The 16,208-nt window shown below is 37.8% G+C and overlaps 1 protein-coding gene across 14 annotated transcripts in view; it reads right to left on the bottom strand.

Annotated features, from left to right (window-relative positions):
• CNTNAP4 (contactin associated protein family member 4) overlaps positions 1-16,208 on the bottom strand; it is a 283,357-nt gene that overhangs the window by 255,264 nt on the left and 11,885 nt on the right. Inside the window, exon 2 of one of the 14 annotated variants that reach the window (NM_001322189.2) lies at positions 9,373-9,631. The exons of the other annotated variants lie outside the window; for them this stretch is intronic. The gene's annotated coding sequence lies outside the window, so the exon portion shown is untranslated. The remainder of the gene's footprint in view (positions 1-9,372; positions 9,632-16,208) is intronic. 14 annotated transcript variants of the gene reach the window in all.

The following is a 16,208-nucleotide window of genomic DNA, read 5'->3' as shown; positions in this document are numbered from 1 at the left end:
GGCAATGAAAATAAATTACGTAGCACTCAACTTAGAAAAAACAATGAAATAAACATCAGGAAAGCACAAGGAAGGAATTGGTTTTAAAAAAAATGCCAGCTAATCAGTTAGAAAATGCAATAACAACAAAATCAATCAATCTACGATCTAGTTCTTCAAAACAAAAAAGACAATAAATTATAACCAAAAAATCCCACTACCTATTCTTATGGAGAAAGTATAAGTATACAAAATGAGAATTAAACCAGGAAATTGTCACAGACATAGAGAAAATTGAAATAACTATATGATCACTTTTCTCAAATACATGAAAATCAATTCACAAATTTAGAGGAAAGCAATTTAGCAATTTCTTGTAAAACTAAACGTGCAATTTACATATATCCCAGCAATTTCATTTAGGCATTTATTCCAGAAAAATAAAAACTTATGTTCACACAAAAACCTGTACACAAATGTTCATAGCAGTCCAACCTCACTTCAACAGGTGAGTGATTAAACAAACTGTGCTACATACATATCACCAAATACTACTCTGCAATAAAAGTGAACAGACTACTGATGTACAATTTGGATGGATTCCCAAGAAATGAGATTGAGTAAAAAAGTCTATCTTAAAGGTTACAAACTGAATGATTTTAGGGATTAAGATATGGACATCCTCGGGGGACCACATTTCTGCCTACCACTGTTGCCAAACTGTAATTGCAGAACCAAACAATTAATTTTTTCAGATTTTGTGCCTCAAAATATTGCCCACTGATTGGTCAAAAGCAGTTTTGAAGGCGGATGTGGCGACACACATATATTGCTTTAGTGATGAGACCTCACATTCTGAGAGAGCCATTTAACAATGGAGTCCACATGTATAATTTTATTTTGAGTTACACAAAACTGGATCCCTCCCAAAGTCACTTGGAAGATTATCCCAATCCTCCCTTCAATGCACAAAGCTGAGAAATGTTCTTCCCTCCTTTTTGAGCCCTTGGGGATGCTCCAGGCTCAGCCATAGTGCCCCCTTTTCTCTGACACCTCTTGAGAGCCCTCAACCCTCCCATCCTACCGGGAAATTCTTCCTTAACTTGAACAGGCTTCTATTATGGCACTTCTGTGGTGGTCTGGGTCTCTGCTTGCTGAGATGTTAAGTGACTGGAAGATCAATATCAGGTTACCTGTCGCCTTGCACTGAAGCCAGAATATTGTGCAGCATAGTGATTACAAGTGTAGCTCTTGAAGCCTCCTCTGTGGGTTCAAGTTCTGCCTCTGCTAAGTACTACATGATCTTAGGCATTTTATTTAAATCGCCTTTCCTATCTCGAAATGAGGATAATGATGGTACATACTAAACAAAACATGGATTTCTGAGAATTAAATGAGTCAGCAGATAAAGAGTAGTTGGTACCTGGTGTATAAAAAGTACTATGTAAGTGTTTATGATTGCTGCTTTAAGTGTTTATTATAAATTCCAAAGTTGGAACTGAATAAAAGTGAACTGAATAAAAGTGAACTGAATAAAAGTTTTGTAGATATGTCTTACAAAATCTTATAAGAATTATTCCTCAAAGAGAAAGAGAGAAATCAGCATTCAACATTCGTAACCACATGGCTATCCTTCCCTCTTAAAAAAAAAGGGGATTTTACTGAATTACTTAAAAAGAAAGTAAAACTGTTCTTACGATGCATTGTTTTCTCATTATGAAATAATTTTTGATGTTCCAAAAGACCATAGTTTTCTTTACATCTCTTCAGCTTCAGAGCTGTTTGTTTCATTTTCTCCAGAAAAGCAGAATTTTAAACTGCACATGATGCAGAAATCAAACAGCCACAATTTATTAAGAAAGAGAGAAAGGAATTCAGAGAACATGGGCATCTCTTTATTTGGACACCTTTGATGATACAGTTAGAAATTCACACTGTGCCAACTAAACCACATGTCCATGAAGTCACAGCAACAATGTCCTCCTAAGTATGTGCTACTTCCATTACTGATATTTTCAACCTGAAATTGCCATGGTTTTGACTTTGATTCCTGGAGGGAAAATTGAGTAAGTCTCAATTCAATTCTTATTCTAGTCATATTAGGTGATATTTCAACATCACTGAACAAATGTTCCATTTTATTACTAAATTATTTTAAGAGTTGTTATTTGTATCTCAAAGTATCACACTTAAAGATGAAGGCTGAAATGTTTCCTAGTGATAAGGAATTTTCCTGCAGATAAATGGGTTTTAATAGGGGAGTGCATAAAGCTAGTTTAATAAATAGCTATTTCTCACTAAGGGAAAAAAAATCAAGCCAACTAGAAACAATAAGCTTCTCTGAGCAATAACATGAGATTAGATGGAGAATATTTCCATTTCATTAGCTAAGATTATTGTGTTTGATTTCATAATCAAGCAAGGAAAAAGTTTGGCTGGTCTCAGAGGTTCATTTCCACTGTTTTAGAAGCTTGGCTAAAAGCTGGCAGAGTAGGTGTGCATTAGCTCAGTACAGAAGAACTGATAACCATTCTAAGCTCTGGACTCTTTCCAACAAGACTACACCCCCTACCAGGGACCCATCACTATTACAAGGACACTCAAATGTTTCCAGCTCCTGATCTCCCTAAACAACATGCAGCATCGTGGCATAGAGCCCTCCCTTCTGGAGAGATAGTCAGGTGTGTGGTGTGTGAGCCCCTCAGTGGACAGAATTCTAAGATGGTCTTCAAGATTTCAGCCACTTGTATAGGCCTAGGATAATCCCCTCCCCTCGAGTGCAGGCAGAATTTGTGAATATGACGGGGTATCAGTCCTGTGCTTATGTTATGTTATATAGCAAAACTAATCTTGCAGATGTAATTAATTAATTGAGGTCCTTAATTTAATTACCTAAAAAGGGTATTATCCTGAGTGGGTTGACCTAATCAGGGGAGACCTTCAAAAGGTCTAAAGGTCAGAGACACAAAAAGTGAAAGAGATAAGAAGCATGGGTGAAATTTATCTTACAGGCCTGGAGGGAGAAAATCACCGTGTTATAGAAAGGGTCACCTGTCAAGAAACGATGGACAGCCTCTAGGACCCGAAAATGGCCCTGGATTGACAGCAAGCCCATAAACGGAGGTTCAGCTCCAAGGAAATTCTGCTAATTAACGTGAGCTTGGAGAGAATCCCAAGCCTTAGATGAGATCATAGGATTGATCCTTCATATTTCTAGGTCCTTCAGCTCTTTTCAAAACTATTGTGAAGTGAAGGGTTAATTTTGTCAGATCTACTTGCCCTGCTTGCTTTTTGTCACTTTCTGTTTTTTGTTTTTTATTTTTCCTTTTTCTATGAAGCTGAAGTCCATGGTAGCTGAAGGCCTCGCCACTGAAGCTGAAATTGTACCTTCCCTGGCTACTTATAGGTGGATATCATTCCTAAGTCACCATGGTAATGGTCGCTTCGGTTGTTTCTCAGAAACTTGGGCCAGCTGCTGTTCAGTTCAAACCAGTAGAGACCACTGGCCTTTCAACTGGGCCTGTGCAAGTGCCCGAGAGGTGGCTTTTTGATGTCAGAGAGCCAAAACTCCACCCTCAGATCATGCTAATGCCACTGTTTTCTGTACATATGTCCTACGAAATGCCATGAACTCTGATTATTCCTGTGCAAAACCAACCTGTCACTTCATTTTTCCCCACTGCCAATCACCTTCCCCATGCCTTAGATCATGCCACTTCCTTAACCCATAAACATCCCTAAGCCTCATCTTCAGGGAGGCGGATTTGAGAGCTGTTCTCCCACCTCCTCACTTGGAGACCTTGCCAATAAATCTTTCCTCTTTTGCAAAACCTTTGTCACAGTGACTGATTTACCCCGTGTAAGCAGAACAGACCTGGACCACGCCAGTAAAAACTGTAACCCTCCCAAAGTCCTGATAACATTTCTTCATTACTAAACCAAGTACTGGTAACTCATGTACTTCCAGGTCTTTCAGTATACATGAGTTCACATACTGTTTGCAAATACCACTATATTAATCGTTAATATTATCTTAGATGTTATGTACCATGCCTTGAATTAGATCATAAATTATTTTAAAATAGAAAACACCTGTTTCAATTCAATTCATTTGCATATCCCACCATGAACCACTTTTGGCCTCAAACACAGTTTTTAAAAAAATTATGTTTAAATTTTTGTTTTTGGATTTTAGAACTTAAAATCATCAGTTGAAAGTAACCCTTGGAGCTATTAATATGATGATGGCTTTACAAGTAGCCACCATTTGTCATTTTGTTTTTCAAGACAGCTGCTTAAAAATTGATCATTCCCATAGTAAAAGACAAAGATCAACAGTCTCATTCAAAAATGCTCTTTTTGTGTGTGTTAATTTTTTATACACTACTCTTACCCACAATTTCCTGGAATTATGAAGACTATGGTATAGTTTTTCTTTGTTTTCATGTCTGTAAGTTATAATTTCCATGTTAGTTCCTATAAAATACTGTTAAACTGACCAAGTATGTACTTGTTCATCACCTAGGCACTCTTTTATAAAAGTACCCTAAAACTTAAAGTATAATAATAATTTAAAAAAAAGGAAAGTGAAAAAAATAAAATAAATAAATAAAATAAAAGATACCCCTTCCTTGACATCCAGGTACTTCCCTAACATATGTCATAGTGTCTAATGTACTGCAAATTGATTTCATGTTTATCGATGAAGACATGAATAAAATAAATTGATGCTTGCCAACGTGCCAATGTTTTGACTGGAGCCCTCTAGAGAAAAATGTTAATTATAGTTACATGTATTGCATGCTATATCTCAACCACGTTAAATCTTTACTACAACTTTGTGAGAAAGATATTCTATTTATTTTCTATATGAAAAATTGAAGGTCAGAGAATTTTAATTTCTTGCTGATGACATTGGTCTCATTTATTTGCCATTCAACATCTTTGTTTTTAATTTATAATTTTTGATTATACTTTAAGTTCTGGGATACATGTGCAAAACGTGCAGGTTTGTTGCATAGGTATACACGTGCCATGGTGGTTTGTGCACCTATCAACCCATCATCTACATTAGGTATTTCTCCTAATGCTATCTCTCCCCTAGACCCCAACCCCGACAGGCCCTGGTGTGTGATGTTCCCCTCCCTGTGTCCAACAGCACAGCTCTCCCATTTTATTGCTTGAACTAGCTATTTCAGCAAGTATTTGAGGACATTGTGCTATGTGGACATGATGTGGGATAGGCAAGATATCTGCTTATAAGCAACAATGGAATGTGTTCTCTTTAAAAGTGATATTCTTTAAAAGTACATCAGTGATATTCCAGATGTCACCTGCAAAAAGTTGCCTTAACTTCTTTTTTTATTATTATTATACTTTTAAGTTTTAGGGTAGATGTGCACAACGTGCAGGTTTGTTACATATGTATACATGCGCCGTGTTGGTGTGCTGCACCCATTAACTCATCATTTAACATTAGGCATATCTCCTAATGCTATCCCTCCCCACTCCCCCACCCCACAACAGGCCCCAGTGTGCAATGTTCCCCTTCCTGTGTCCATGTGTTCTCGTTGTTCAAATCCCACCTATGAGTGAGAACATGAGGTGTTTGGTTTTTTGTCCTTGTGATAGTTTGCTGATAATGATGGTTTCCAGCTTCATCCATGTCCCTACAAAGGACATGAACTTATCATTTTTTATGGCTGCATAGTATTCTGTGGTGTATATGTGCCACATTTTCTTAATCCAGTCTATCATTGTTGGACATTTGGCCTGGTTCCAAGTCTTTGCTACTGTGAATAGTGCCACAATAAACATACCTGTGCGTGTGTCTTTATAGCAGCATGATTTATAATCCTTTGGGTATATATCCAGTAATGGGATGGCTAGGTCAAATGGTATTTCTAGTTCTAGATCCCTGAGGAATCGCCACACTGACTTCCACAATGGTTGAACTAGTTTACAGTCCCACCAACAGTGTAAAAGTGTTCCTGTTTCTCCACATCCTCTCCAGCACCTGTTGTTTCCTGACTTTTTAATGATCGCCATTCTAACTGGTGTGAGATGGTATCTCATTGTGGTTTTGATTTGCATTTCTCTGATGGCCAGTGATGATGAGCATTTTTTCATGTGTCTGTCGGCTGCATAAATGTCTTCTTTTGTGAAGTGTCTATTCATATCCTTCGCCCATTTGTTGATGGGGTTGTTTTTTTCTTGTAAATTTGTTTGAGCTCATTATAGATTCTGGATATTAGCCCTTTGTCAGATGAGTAGGTTGCAAAAATTTTCTCCCATTCTGTATGTTGCCTGTTCACTCTGATGGTAGTTTCTTTTGCTGTGCAGAAGCTCTTTAGTTTAATTAGATCCCATTTGTCAATTCTGGCTTTTGTTGCCATTGCTTTTGGTGTTTTAGACATGAAGTCCTTGCCCATGCCTATGTCCTGAATAGTAGTACTGCCTAGGTTTTCTTCTAGGGTTTTTATGGTTTTAGATCTAACATTTAAGTCTTTAATCCATCTTGAATTAATAAGACGTTGTAACTAATGAAGTTAGAAGTCCCTACCAGGTTCTAGAGAACATCAAGTCACAATCATTAAAGAGGAACTGATTTAATACAAACCACACTTGAATCATTTCTGCCCTACCTGCCCCCACCCAACTCACTATTGGTATTAAACGTCCACCACCCACATATTGTTTGGCTCCACTCCATGGCTTAAAAAGAAAGAGACTGAATGTCTCAGGAAATGTGCCCCTTGATAAGAATGTGGTCTAGGAGAGGATCAGCAGTCCAGTTGGCCAGCATCCCTGCAGGCAACTGAGCCCTTGGAGAGCTCTATATGGCTGCAGCCACCCCATTACTTTAAGGGTGTGTTTACTCCACTTGTTGGCTTTCTGCTTTCATTTCAGATTCTAATGAATTCTTCCGCTTGGGTGGACCCTAGAACTGAGACTCTGGCTGCTTCTCAGCACAGCCCCTTACCTCACACACACACACACACACACACACACACACACACACACACACATACATGTACACACATGTGCACACACAATGAATGGGGTAATCCAAAGAATCTAATTGCCATTCATAAAAGCTAGACTGTTAATTCTAAACTCATTTTCAATTCTACTTTCTCCCACCCAATCAACCTTTCATATGGCTGCTCCAGGAAAATTACATTTTGCTTATTGCATTTTAGTTAAACTTGACTGTTACATTTTGATTAAACACACAGTTCTATTCAGGTTCACTGAGATTATCAGCTTGGAATGGCCTCCAGATGAAGACCTACCGGCTAACCTCCTTGGACTTAAGTGTCCTCTTTGTCTTTATGGCACCCTGTATAAGACCCTAGCACAGTAATTAATAAAACATTAAAAATGTGTGCTCAGCTGTGTAGTTTGAAAGACTGTGGCAGTAGAACAAAAGAGATGGGGAAGATGTAGGGACACTAAAGAGGCAGCCACAGTAATTTGTGACTATGTGAAGAGACGGGTGAAGATAGCAGAAAAACAGAAGGGTCTCTTCAGGTTTCTGATTACGGGTGATAAGAAAAAAAAATAATATGTTTGACATAAAGAGTAGATGAGGAAAAGGAGAAGCAGAGACTATTTCTGATTCTAATTTAGTATCTGGTTTATCAGGTCTTCTTTTATGAAAAATGAAAAAATAAAAGTTTTTAACAGATATTTTTTAATGCTGCAGATGCCAAACAAAATTAAAGAGAGCAAGTTATCTGAAGTTCTTGGATAAAGTATTCTGAAACAGCATGCTGAAGGATTTGCATATAACCAGTAGCCAAGTGAAGGATTGTGTATCTATCTATCATAAGCTTCTGAGCTTCTTTTTGTATAGTAAATGTTGATAAATTTAAAAGATAATAGATTATGTCATAGCCTGAGAACATATATTTCAATGACCCCAGGGGAAATTTCAGCAATAGATTATAATCAAGTAAAGTCAAGTAAATCAAATAAAATTATCTTCTTCCTCAGTACTAAGAATTTAATTTTTCACTGTAACACAACTCGGAGCATGCACATTTGAAAAAACAGCTCCCTTTAATTCTTTAGGGCTGCAACATAATAAATTAAATACATTATTATGATTGAACAAAAATAAATATAAATAGTTATCTTTTATTTTAGTTCATTCAGCACCTCAAGTACTTTGTGATGTGGGGAATTTATATTGCTAGGATCCAAATTCCCAGTCAATATGATTTCAAATACATGTGTATTGGTTTCAAGCAAAATTAAATTGAATAACAGTGTTTTAGAAATGATGAAATCTAAATGCCCAAGAAGATTTAGCTAAACAGTGCCATCAATTAAAATAGCTTTCTAAAGAGCAGTTGTTTGTTTTGTTGTACTTGCAATTCTGATGTCCAAAATGCTAAAACACTTTTTGAAAAAGAGATTTCCCTCTTATGTTTAAGTCTTTTGAGTTCAGTTATAAGTTACTAAAGGTTACTTCTTTACAACTTTGTTGAGTGAAAACCTTCTGGGTTTTTCTTCATGGCTGGATATGTCCAGGGGCATATTTTAAAAATGTAACAGTTGCCAACGGAGAGCAACTGGAAGCCTCAAATGTTTCCTGCCATGGATTTTTAAATCTCATAAGATTTAATGCTACAGAACACACTGGAGAATTAAAGCTCTCTGGAGGGGCAATTATTTCAGCTCTTCTCAATGCTTGGGGTATCAAATATGGTCAATAATTCAATAGCATTCATCTTTGGCTGCTGAATCCTTAGATACAGCAAAAATACTGGATTCAAATTGATGTGGAATTTCCAAAAGTAGTACCATTTGTACCATCATGATTAGCTATACCATTTCTCTTTCTTCTCTCTCTCTCTCTCTCTGCCTCTCTCTTTCGTCCATTTTGAGATCAGCATCTCTATATCTTTATATGCCTGTGTTCTAGAACATACTTCAATATGGCAGGCACTTGGTAAATGTTTGCTTAATTAAATTGAATATAACTTGAAGAACACATTATAAAATTTTAAACTTGCTTTTCCATTTTATCATTTTACCAAATTCTCTTTTTACACATCCAATGATAAATACATAAGCCCTAAATGTATCTTTCCCAAAGCATTGAAATAACTCAGCTATAGGAATTCAGTCTTCTATCATAAGGCAGATGTATTTAATCTTTACTATTTAAGTCAAATGGGTGGGGTGGAGGTAGGTATTTGAATGGAAGGCAGGAAAACATTATAATGCTCTGTGTTGCGGAAGAATCACCTATGAAACCTTCAATTCAGGATAAATTCTTATTCTTGCCAAAAGCAAAATATTTCATTAAAATGCAACAATACATAATGTTAGAAAACATTTTGTATCAGCCTTATTTCAGAAAGATTTTACTCAATACATTACCATGGCATATTCCTCAAACATTGCATTGTAGAAATCACACACAATCTCAAAAAAGCTTTTAAATACGATCCTTTGTAGAGAAGTTTAGGAAGAGAGTTTCAAAAAATGAACACACTTAAAATTTCTTATTCAGTAGCTGGCCATGGTGGCACATGTCTGTAATCTCCGCTAGTCTACTTGGGAGGCTGAGGCAGGAGAATCGCTGGAACCCAGGAGGCAGAGGCTGCAGTGAGCTGAGATTGCACCACTACATTCCAGCCTGGGGGAAAGAGCAAGACTCTGTTTCAAAAAATAAATAAATAAATTCTTATTCAGAAGAATAGTAGCTACATACAAAAAGCATAGTACATCCTTTGGAAGATATAAGCACATTTATTGTAATACAATAAAAAGCAAAAGCCACCAACTTGAATTGGCCACTCCTTCCTCTCACATGTCACTACTTTCCGACAGCCATGACGTGCTGTCAGTCCTACGTGCTCATGTGGAACAACTCTGTTGTTGCCTGTTCTTTATTAGCATTGTCACTGTCTCTGTTTTTCTGTAGCTCTTATTACTTTTTACAGGAGTTAGTTCACCAGCTTAATATCTAGTCTCTGTGGACTCAAGTTAGACTCCATTTCCTGTTTTTTATCATTCCCATCCTTCACCCTCCTGAGAATTTTAAGTTTATAAAAAGCAAATCTAATCAGTGTCACACACATGTGCATGCATAACACTTATAGTAATAAAATGACCCCTCAAGATTCTGGATCAGATCCTTAGTCCTTAGCTTTACCTACAGGATTCCTCATGACCTGGCCACTTCTGAACATTTTTGTCCTTCTGCACTACTGTGGTGCATTCAAAGACTCCATGCTTTTGTGGACCTCGCTATGATGGGCATGTGTTTCCGCCTTCTTTCCTCATCTAGCTGTCCTATTCATCCTTCAGTAAACACCTTTCACTGACTCCCACTGCTCACATCTGATGTTCTGCCTGTGACCACTCCAAATATTGTGTATGCCTCTCCCTCATTGCACTTACCACACTGTGCTGTTTTTCTACAGGACCAGGAAGTGGCAAAGCTGAGCTTTAAGCCAGGGTGAGCTGTAAGAGCACAGCCTCTGAGCACATTGCCTGTAAGAACACCGGCCCCCCTATAAGCACCTTAAACAATACAATACATTTTGTCTTAAGAAAAAAGCAAAACCTTCAGCATAAAATGTGGTCACAAAAGCATTGTGTATCTGAGAGTCGAAACTTCTGTTCTCAATTGCGAGCAAGAATTTACAGATTGAGACCATAATAACATTTCAAGAAAACTGGTGCTGAAGACATGTGTAATGACAGGTACCACAATGTGGAGGCTTACTAACTATTTGTTGAGTGAATAAATGAATGAAATGTGCAGAGTAAAGTGAAACCCCAAGAAGTTGCAGAAATTACTATGTTTTGGAACACTTTAATAGACTGAATGAATAATAGCCCAACCCAGAGAAGAGTGAGTGTATGAAACCAAAACTATCCAAGGAATGTAAAAAATATTTTACTAAGAAATTTTTTAACATATTTAGTTTCTTTCTTTCTTAGATACAATTCACTGAATCATCAGTGTCAATGGAAAAATAACCAGAGTCCCAAAGTGTGCTATTACAGAGTACATTTAGCATGAAACATATTCAGCCAGTGTAATTCTTGGGGATAAATTTTTAAACTATCACTTCATAGGTAGGTGAAAAATATAAAAACCCATCTGATGTCAACTCTAGTGATATTACTGGTTATTTATTGATTTTTAAGAGAAATGAGAGGAAACACACAGGTTACCAAATAAGTCAGAATTGTATTAGATCAGGAATCCATACTGAAGTGTAGTATGGATCACAGTCTGCTCTTTGTTAGAGTTACTTTTTGTCTTCTCCATTTGCTTGTGGGTCCCTGAATAGCAGGGATTGCGACACATTTATCATCGTACCTCACCACCCTGACTGGAAGAAGAAACTCACATGTAGCTGTTTCAGAAGTTGAATGAGTGGGTTTCTTACTCGCTCTCCAAAATCTCTGATAATTTATTTTCTGTATATCACACTGGAAGTCCACTTAGAAATAAGAAGTGTCCCTGAAATGGAAACTAGATAGACAGACAGGGACTTTCTCTGTTTGCCTCTCTTGCTCTGAGAAGAATGGATGTCTTAGGAAATGACTGTAGAACATAAAGAGAAAGGCTAAATACAATTCTCGGTTCAAACCACACTACTAAAAATGCTACATTCAGTCACGGGCATCAATTATATCCTTTTTTTTAAAAAAAAAAAAAAAAGCAGCTTGTTCTTAGATGCCATGATTTGCACCTCTAAGATCAGCCACTTGCTTGTACTATTTCACCTGATATTTTGCCTAGCATATGAAATGTGATTAAATTCTTTTATTTTCAACAATGTCCAGTAAGTTCCAAGCAAAGAGCTATAAAACTATGAAGAGATGCTCTGTCAAGTGATCCCTTAAGTGCAGTCACTCAAATCCACCTAAAAATTGATTATACAAATTAAGAAGAAATTCATTTCAGAACAAATTAATTAATTCCCTCTGAAATCACTTTCCCTTAATATTTTGTTACTTGTGTAAACCATACACAAGTAAATAGACAGGTAGATAGGAAGAAAACTAGAAAACAGCTCATAAATATTGTTATATCAAAGAAAATATCATTAAAATTACGATCACATTGCTTTGTTTGATAGAGCAAATGCTTAAAGGTGCTTGTGAATAGTGAAAAACGAGATCACGAGGTCATCAAGACCATCCTGGCCAACATGGTGAAACCCCGTCTCTACTAAACATACAAAAATTAGCTGGGCGTGATGGCACATGCCTGTAGTCTCAGCTACTCAGGAGGCTGAGGCAGGAGAATCGCTCGAACCCGGGAGGTGGAGGTTGCAGTTAGCCGAGATTGCACCACTGCACTCCAGCCTGGCAACAGAGTGAGGCTCCGGAAAAGAAAAAAAAAAAGAAAGAAAGAAAAAAGAAATATTAAGAGCTTCAGGCATAACTATAAAGAGAGCTGGGCTATACAGGTGTATAGGGGTTAACAGTCTAAGAAAGAGTGAGGTAAAACGTGGCCTGAAAGTCTCTGATATTTTTCTTTTTTGAAAGTGGCTGGAATTAATCAGTAGCACTACTCAAAAGCATATTTGATATTTTACAGAATCATATTCACTCTCCAGGAGACTGGCTTAAGTAGCACTGGTTCTGGTTTAGCAATGGAAACAGACTTCTCATTCAAAATTCTAAATCTGAAGTGTTTTCTTTTTCATTTTGATGTTCATTAAATATAGGTTGCTGTCCCTGATAAGCAGAAAGTAGAAGTATTGAGAAACACTAGTCTGTTTTCTTAAGATGCCTATTTTTTCTTCAAAAAGACAGAAAAAAAAATATTTTTGATAAGGAAGACAGAAAACTCTATGATGCCAGAAGGAAATCAAAATCAGTACCAAGAGAGGAATGATACAGCAGTTAGGAGGTCCTACCCATAAATAGTAAATCATGCCTCTGGAGAAGACACTAGGCTGATGGTTACAACCGAAAACCTGCATTTGCAGCAGCCTATCAGAGGCCACAGGCACTGAGCTCCAGAGAGGAACACATGTAGGGAAGATTGGTAATGCCGCTGAGGGCTGGAGAGACAGCTGTGCCTATAAATGACAAGACCAATTGATGAGTGAAAGGGTTTCCTGGAGGGTGACAGATGCACTTCTGAGATCCGTCATACATGACAGTCTGTACCCACCACCACAGGTTCATGGTTGAACAAATGATAGTGCTCGAAGAGGCAAGGAATTATCTTTAAGTGCCATAAATTCTTGAGCAGGAAGGGGAGGGGTGCAAGGAGACAGTGGTAACGTTACATTTCTCCTTCCAAAAGAAATGTGGACTCTTGCAAGACAAAGTTGGATGACATTGAACAGTTCATGACATTGACATTTGCAAATGGGTTAAGATACCGTTATATTAGAGAAATACAAGAATCTTAAGGGAGCCATATACTACTACAAGCAGATGCTGATAGACTGAGAAATCAAAAAATAAGTCAATGGACAACCAATGAGTTCAAAATAGAGGAATGTTTAAATAAAAGTATATCCACTTGATGGGCTACTGTGAAACCTTTGAAAAGATAAATCCAAAGGCTACTTAGCCACAAGAGAAATGCACTGGAAAGGATGGGAAAGCATGCGTATGAGAAAACACTGGGCATGAACAGATGCTGTGCTAAGATTGACTGAAATAATGTATGGCAAGCATCTGTCCCAGTTCTCAATTCGTGGAGGGCATCCTACAAATTTAAAATTAGATGATAAATTTTAAACTGACTTTTCAAAACTTACTAGAAAGATTATTGTTTGTTTGCTTTATTTATGTTTTATTTGTTTGTTTTTGACTAAGCATAGAATGTATCACAGGAAGAAGGAGGAGGAGCTGTGTGTACTGAGATTTACTGATTACGAAGTGGGAAAGTGCCAGATAAAACAAACTGTACAATCAACTTTTGAGAAGGGGATATGAGAAACACACAGAGCAAATCACAGCACAACTGGAGCTGGGTAACATACAGAAGAAAGTACTTTGGAAGGGGATAAAATAATACTTGTGATAATGGCTATGGAAATGTTGGGATATCAGAAACTCTTGGGTACTAGAGGCACCTAGACAGCACCAGGTGCAGATAAAAGCAAAGAGAAAAAGAAGGGATAGATAGTGGTACCCCCATGTCCACCAGGCAGTGGTGGCTGATGGATGAGAATGCCATGCCATTGATCTCGGCAATGCACTGAACCAGGATTCAACTTCAGGATGACTCCACTCAGCTGTTAAGTTTTAACCTGTAAAAGCAATGTATCTACTGTTGAACTTTCAAAAATTGTTTCCCAATACTGAAAAAAAGCAATGTAATTTAGACAGTTGCAACAGTGAGAGCACCTGTTATGGACTGAATTATACCCCCCACTCCACAATTAATATGTCAAAGCCCTAATCCCCAATGTGACTTTATTCAGAGAGAGGGCCATAACAGGAGGCAATTATGTTTAAATGAGGTTGTAAGGGTGAGGCCCTAATCCAATAAGACTGGCCCCTTATAAGAAGAGTAAGAGACACCAGAGATATCGCTCTCTCTCTCCCATGTGCACAAAGGAAAGGCCACATAAGACACAGCAAGGAGGTGGTCATCTGCAAGTCAGGAGGAGAGGCTACACCAAAAACCAACCTAGATGGCATTTTGATGGACTTTTGGCCTCCAGAACTGTGACAAAATTAATGTACATTGTTTAAGCCACTCATTCTGTGGTATTCGGTTATGGCAGCCATAGAAGACTAATATGGCACCAAAGGGAATATGTCTCTGAACATCGGGAAGGAGTGAAGCTTTTATGGAGGAAAGGAACAAAACTGGTAGAATGCCTTGGTCAGGCAGTGCTGCAATCTTGCAGAAAGGAGTTGGATTTTCTTTGTGATTTAGGCTGTTTCAACCACTTACCCTTTTCTTGAAATTGTTGACTCAAAGAAGGAATTTAGAGGAAGTGAATAGGTCTTTGGGTACCAAGAAGCAAGCAGGACAGTGTACACTCAGAGGAGAAAACGTTAGTTATCTACATGAGCGAGTGCCTGCCACTTCACTCCGACTAATCAAAAGGGGCTTGTTGTTAAGATGAAAGTGACAGATCCTTGGAAAAAAGAGGAAGGAATGAGCATATGTGGTATATGGGTTCTTAGAATTTACTATCGTGCCAGAGCGAGAACCTTGAGAATGAGCATGTGTGGTTTTGATATTCAGGAGAGGAGATTTCACAGATGCAGGGAGAAGATGGGCACTTTCCATTTCAAAGAACAATGGATTTTGGAGTCATTGGGTCTAAGCCTCATTTTTGTTCTTCCTTACTCAGTAGCTTTGGAAGCACCTTCTAAATTTGTTTCCTAGTTTGTAAAATAATCATAGTAACACTTGTCTCACAGGCCTGTGTGAGAATAAAATAACACAGGGCACACTTCACCACCTTGGAGTCCACAGAGCCCACTGCAAAAGGAATATTTGTCATTATTAATGATAACATATGTCAACATGCATGAAAAGTTATGACTATAAACTTCTGGCAATAAAAATCACAAATGTGTACCATGAGGAGGATGAAACGTGAGCAGAATCTAAATACAAGTGATGGGTTTTACCAGAAAATAATAAAAGGAACATATGTGCAATTAAGAGAGGAAAATAAGGACAGGTGCGGTGGTTCATGCCTGTAATCCCAGCACTTTGGGAGGCTGAGGCGGGTGGATCACTTGAGTCCAGCAGTTCAAGACCAGCTTGACCAACATGGTGAAACCCCGCCTCTACTAAATGTACAAAAATTAGCCAGGCATGGTGGCAGGTGCCTGTAGTCACTACATGGGAGACTAAGGCAAGGAGAATTGCTTGAACCTGGGAAGCAGAGGTTGCAGTGAGCCGAGATTGTGCCACTGCAATCCAGCCTGGGAGACAGAGCAAGACTCTGTCTCAAAAAAAAACAGGCGGAAAATAAAAGTTTGGAACTCATTAATGCTGGTAAAAAAAAAAAAAATGCTAAAGGCAATGAAAAGAAACATCTTGCATATGTTTGTAGGCAAAAGAAGGGCAAGGAGGCTGTGGTCACACTGCTTTGTAAAAGTTAATAATGAAAAGAAAAAATAGAGAATGAATTTTATTTTTCTTCTACCCTATGTGAATGAGAAAAGTCTTTAAAGAGAAAATGGAAAATAAAAACCAATACAAAAGACTTGAAGTCCAAACTGGATGGAGTTGAAAATTTCTTCTCATAATGTGG

The sequence above is a fragment of the Homo sapiens genome, chromosome 16 (assembly GCF_000001405.40).
Source record: "Homo sapiens chromosome 16, GRCh38.p14 Primary Assembly".
Lineage (NCBI taxonomy): Eukaryota > Metazoa > Chordata > Mammalia > Primates > Hominidae > Homo > Homo sapiens.
The sequence above is the reverse complement of the archived record's forward strand: the minus strand, read 5'-3'. Positions and strand labels throughout refer to the sequence as shown.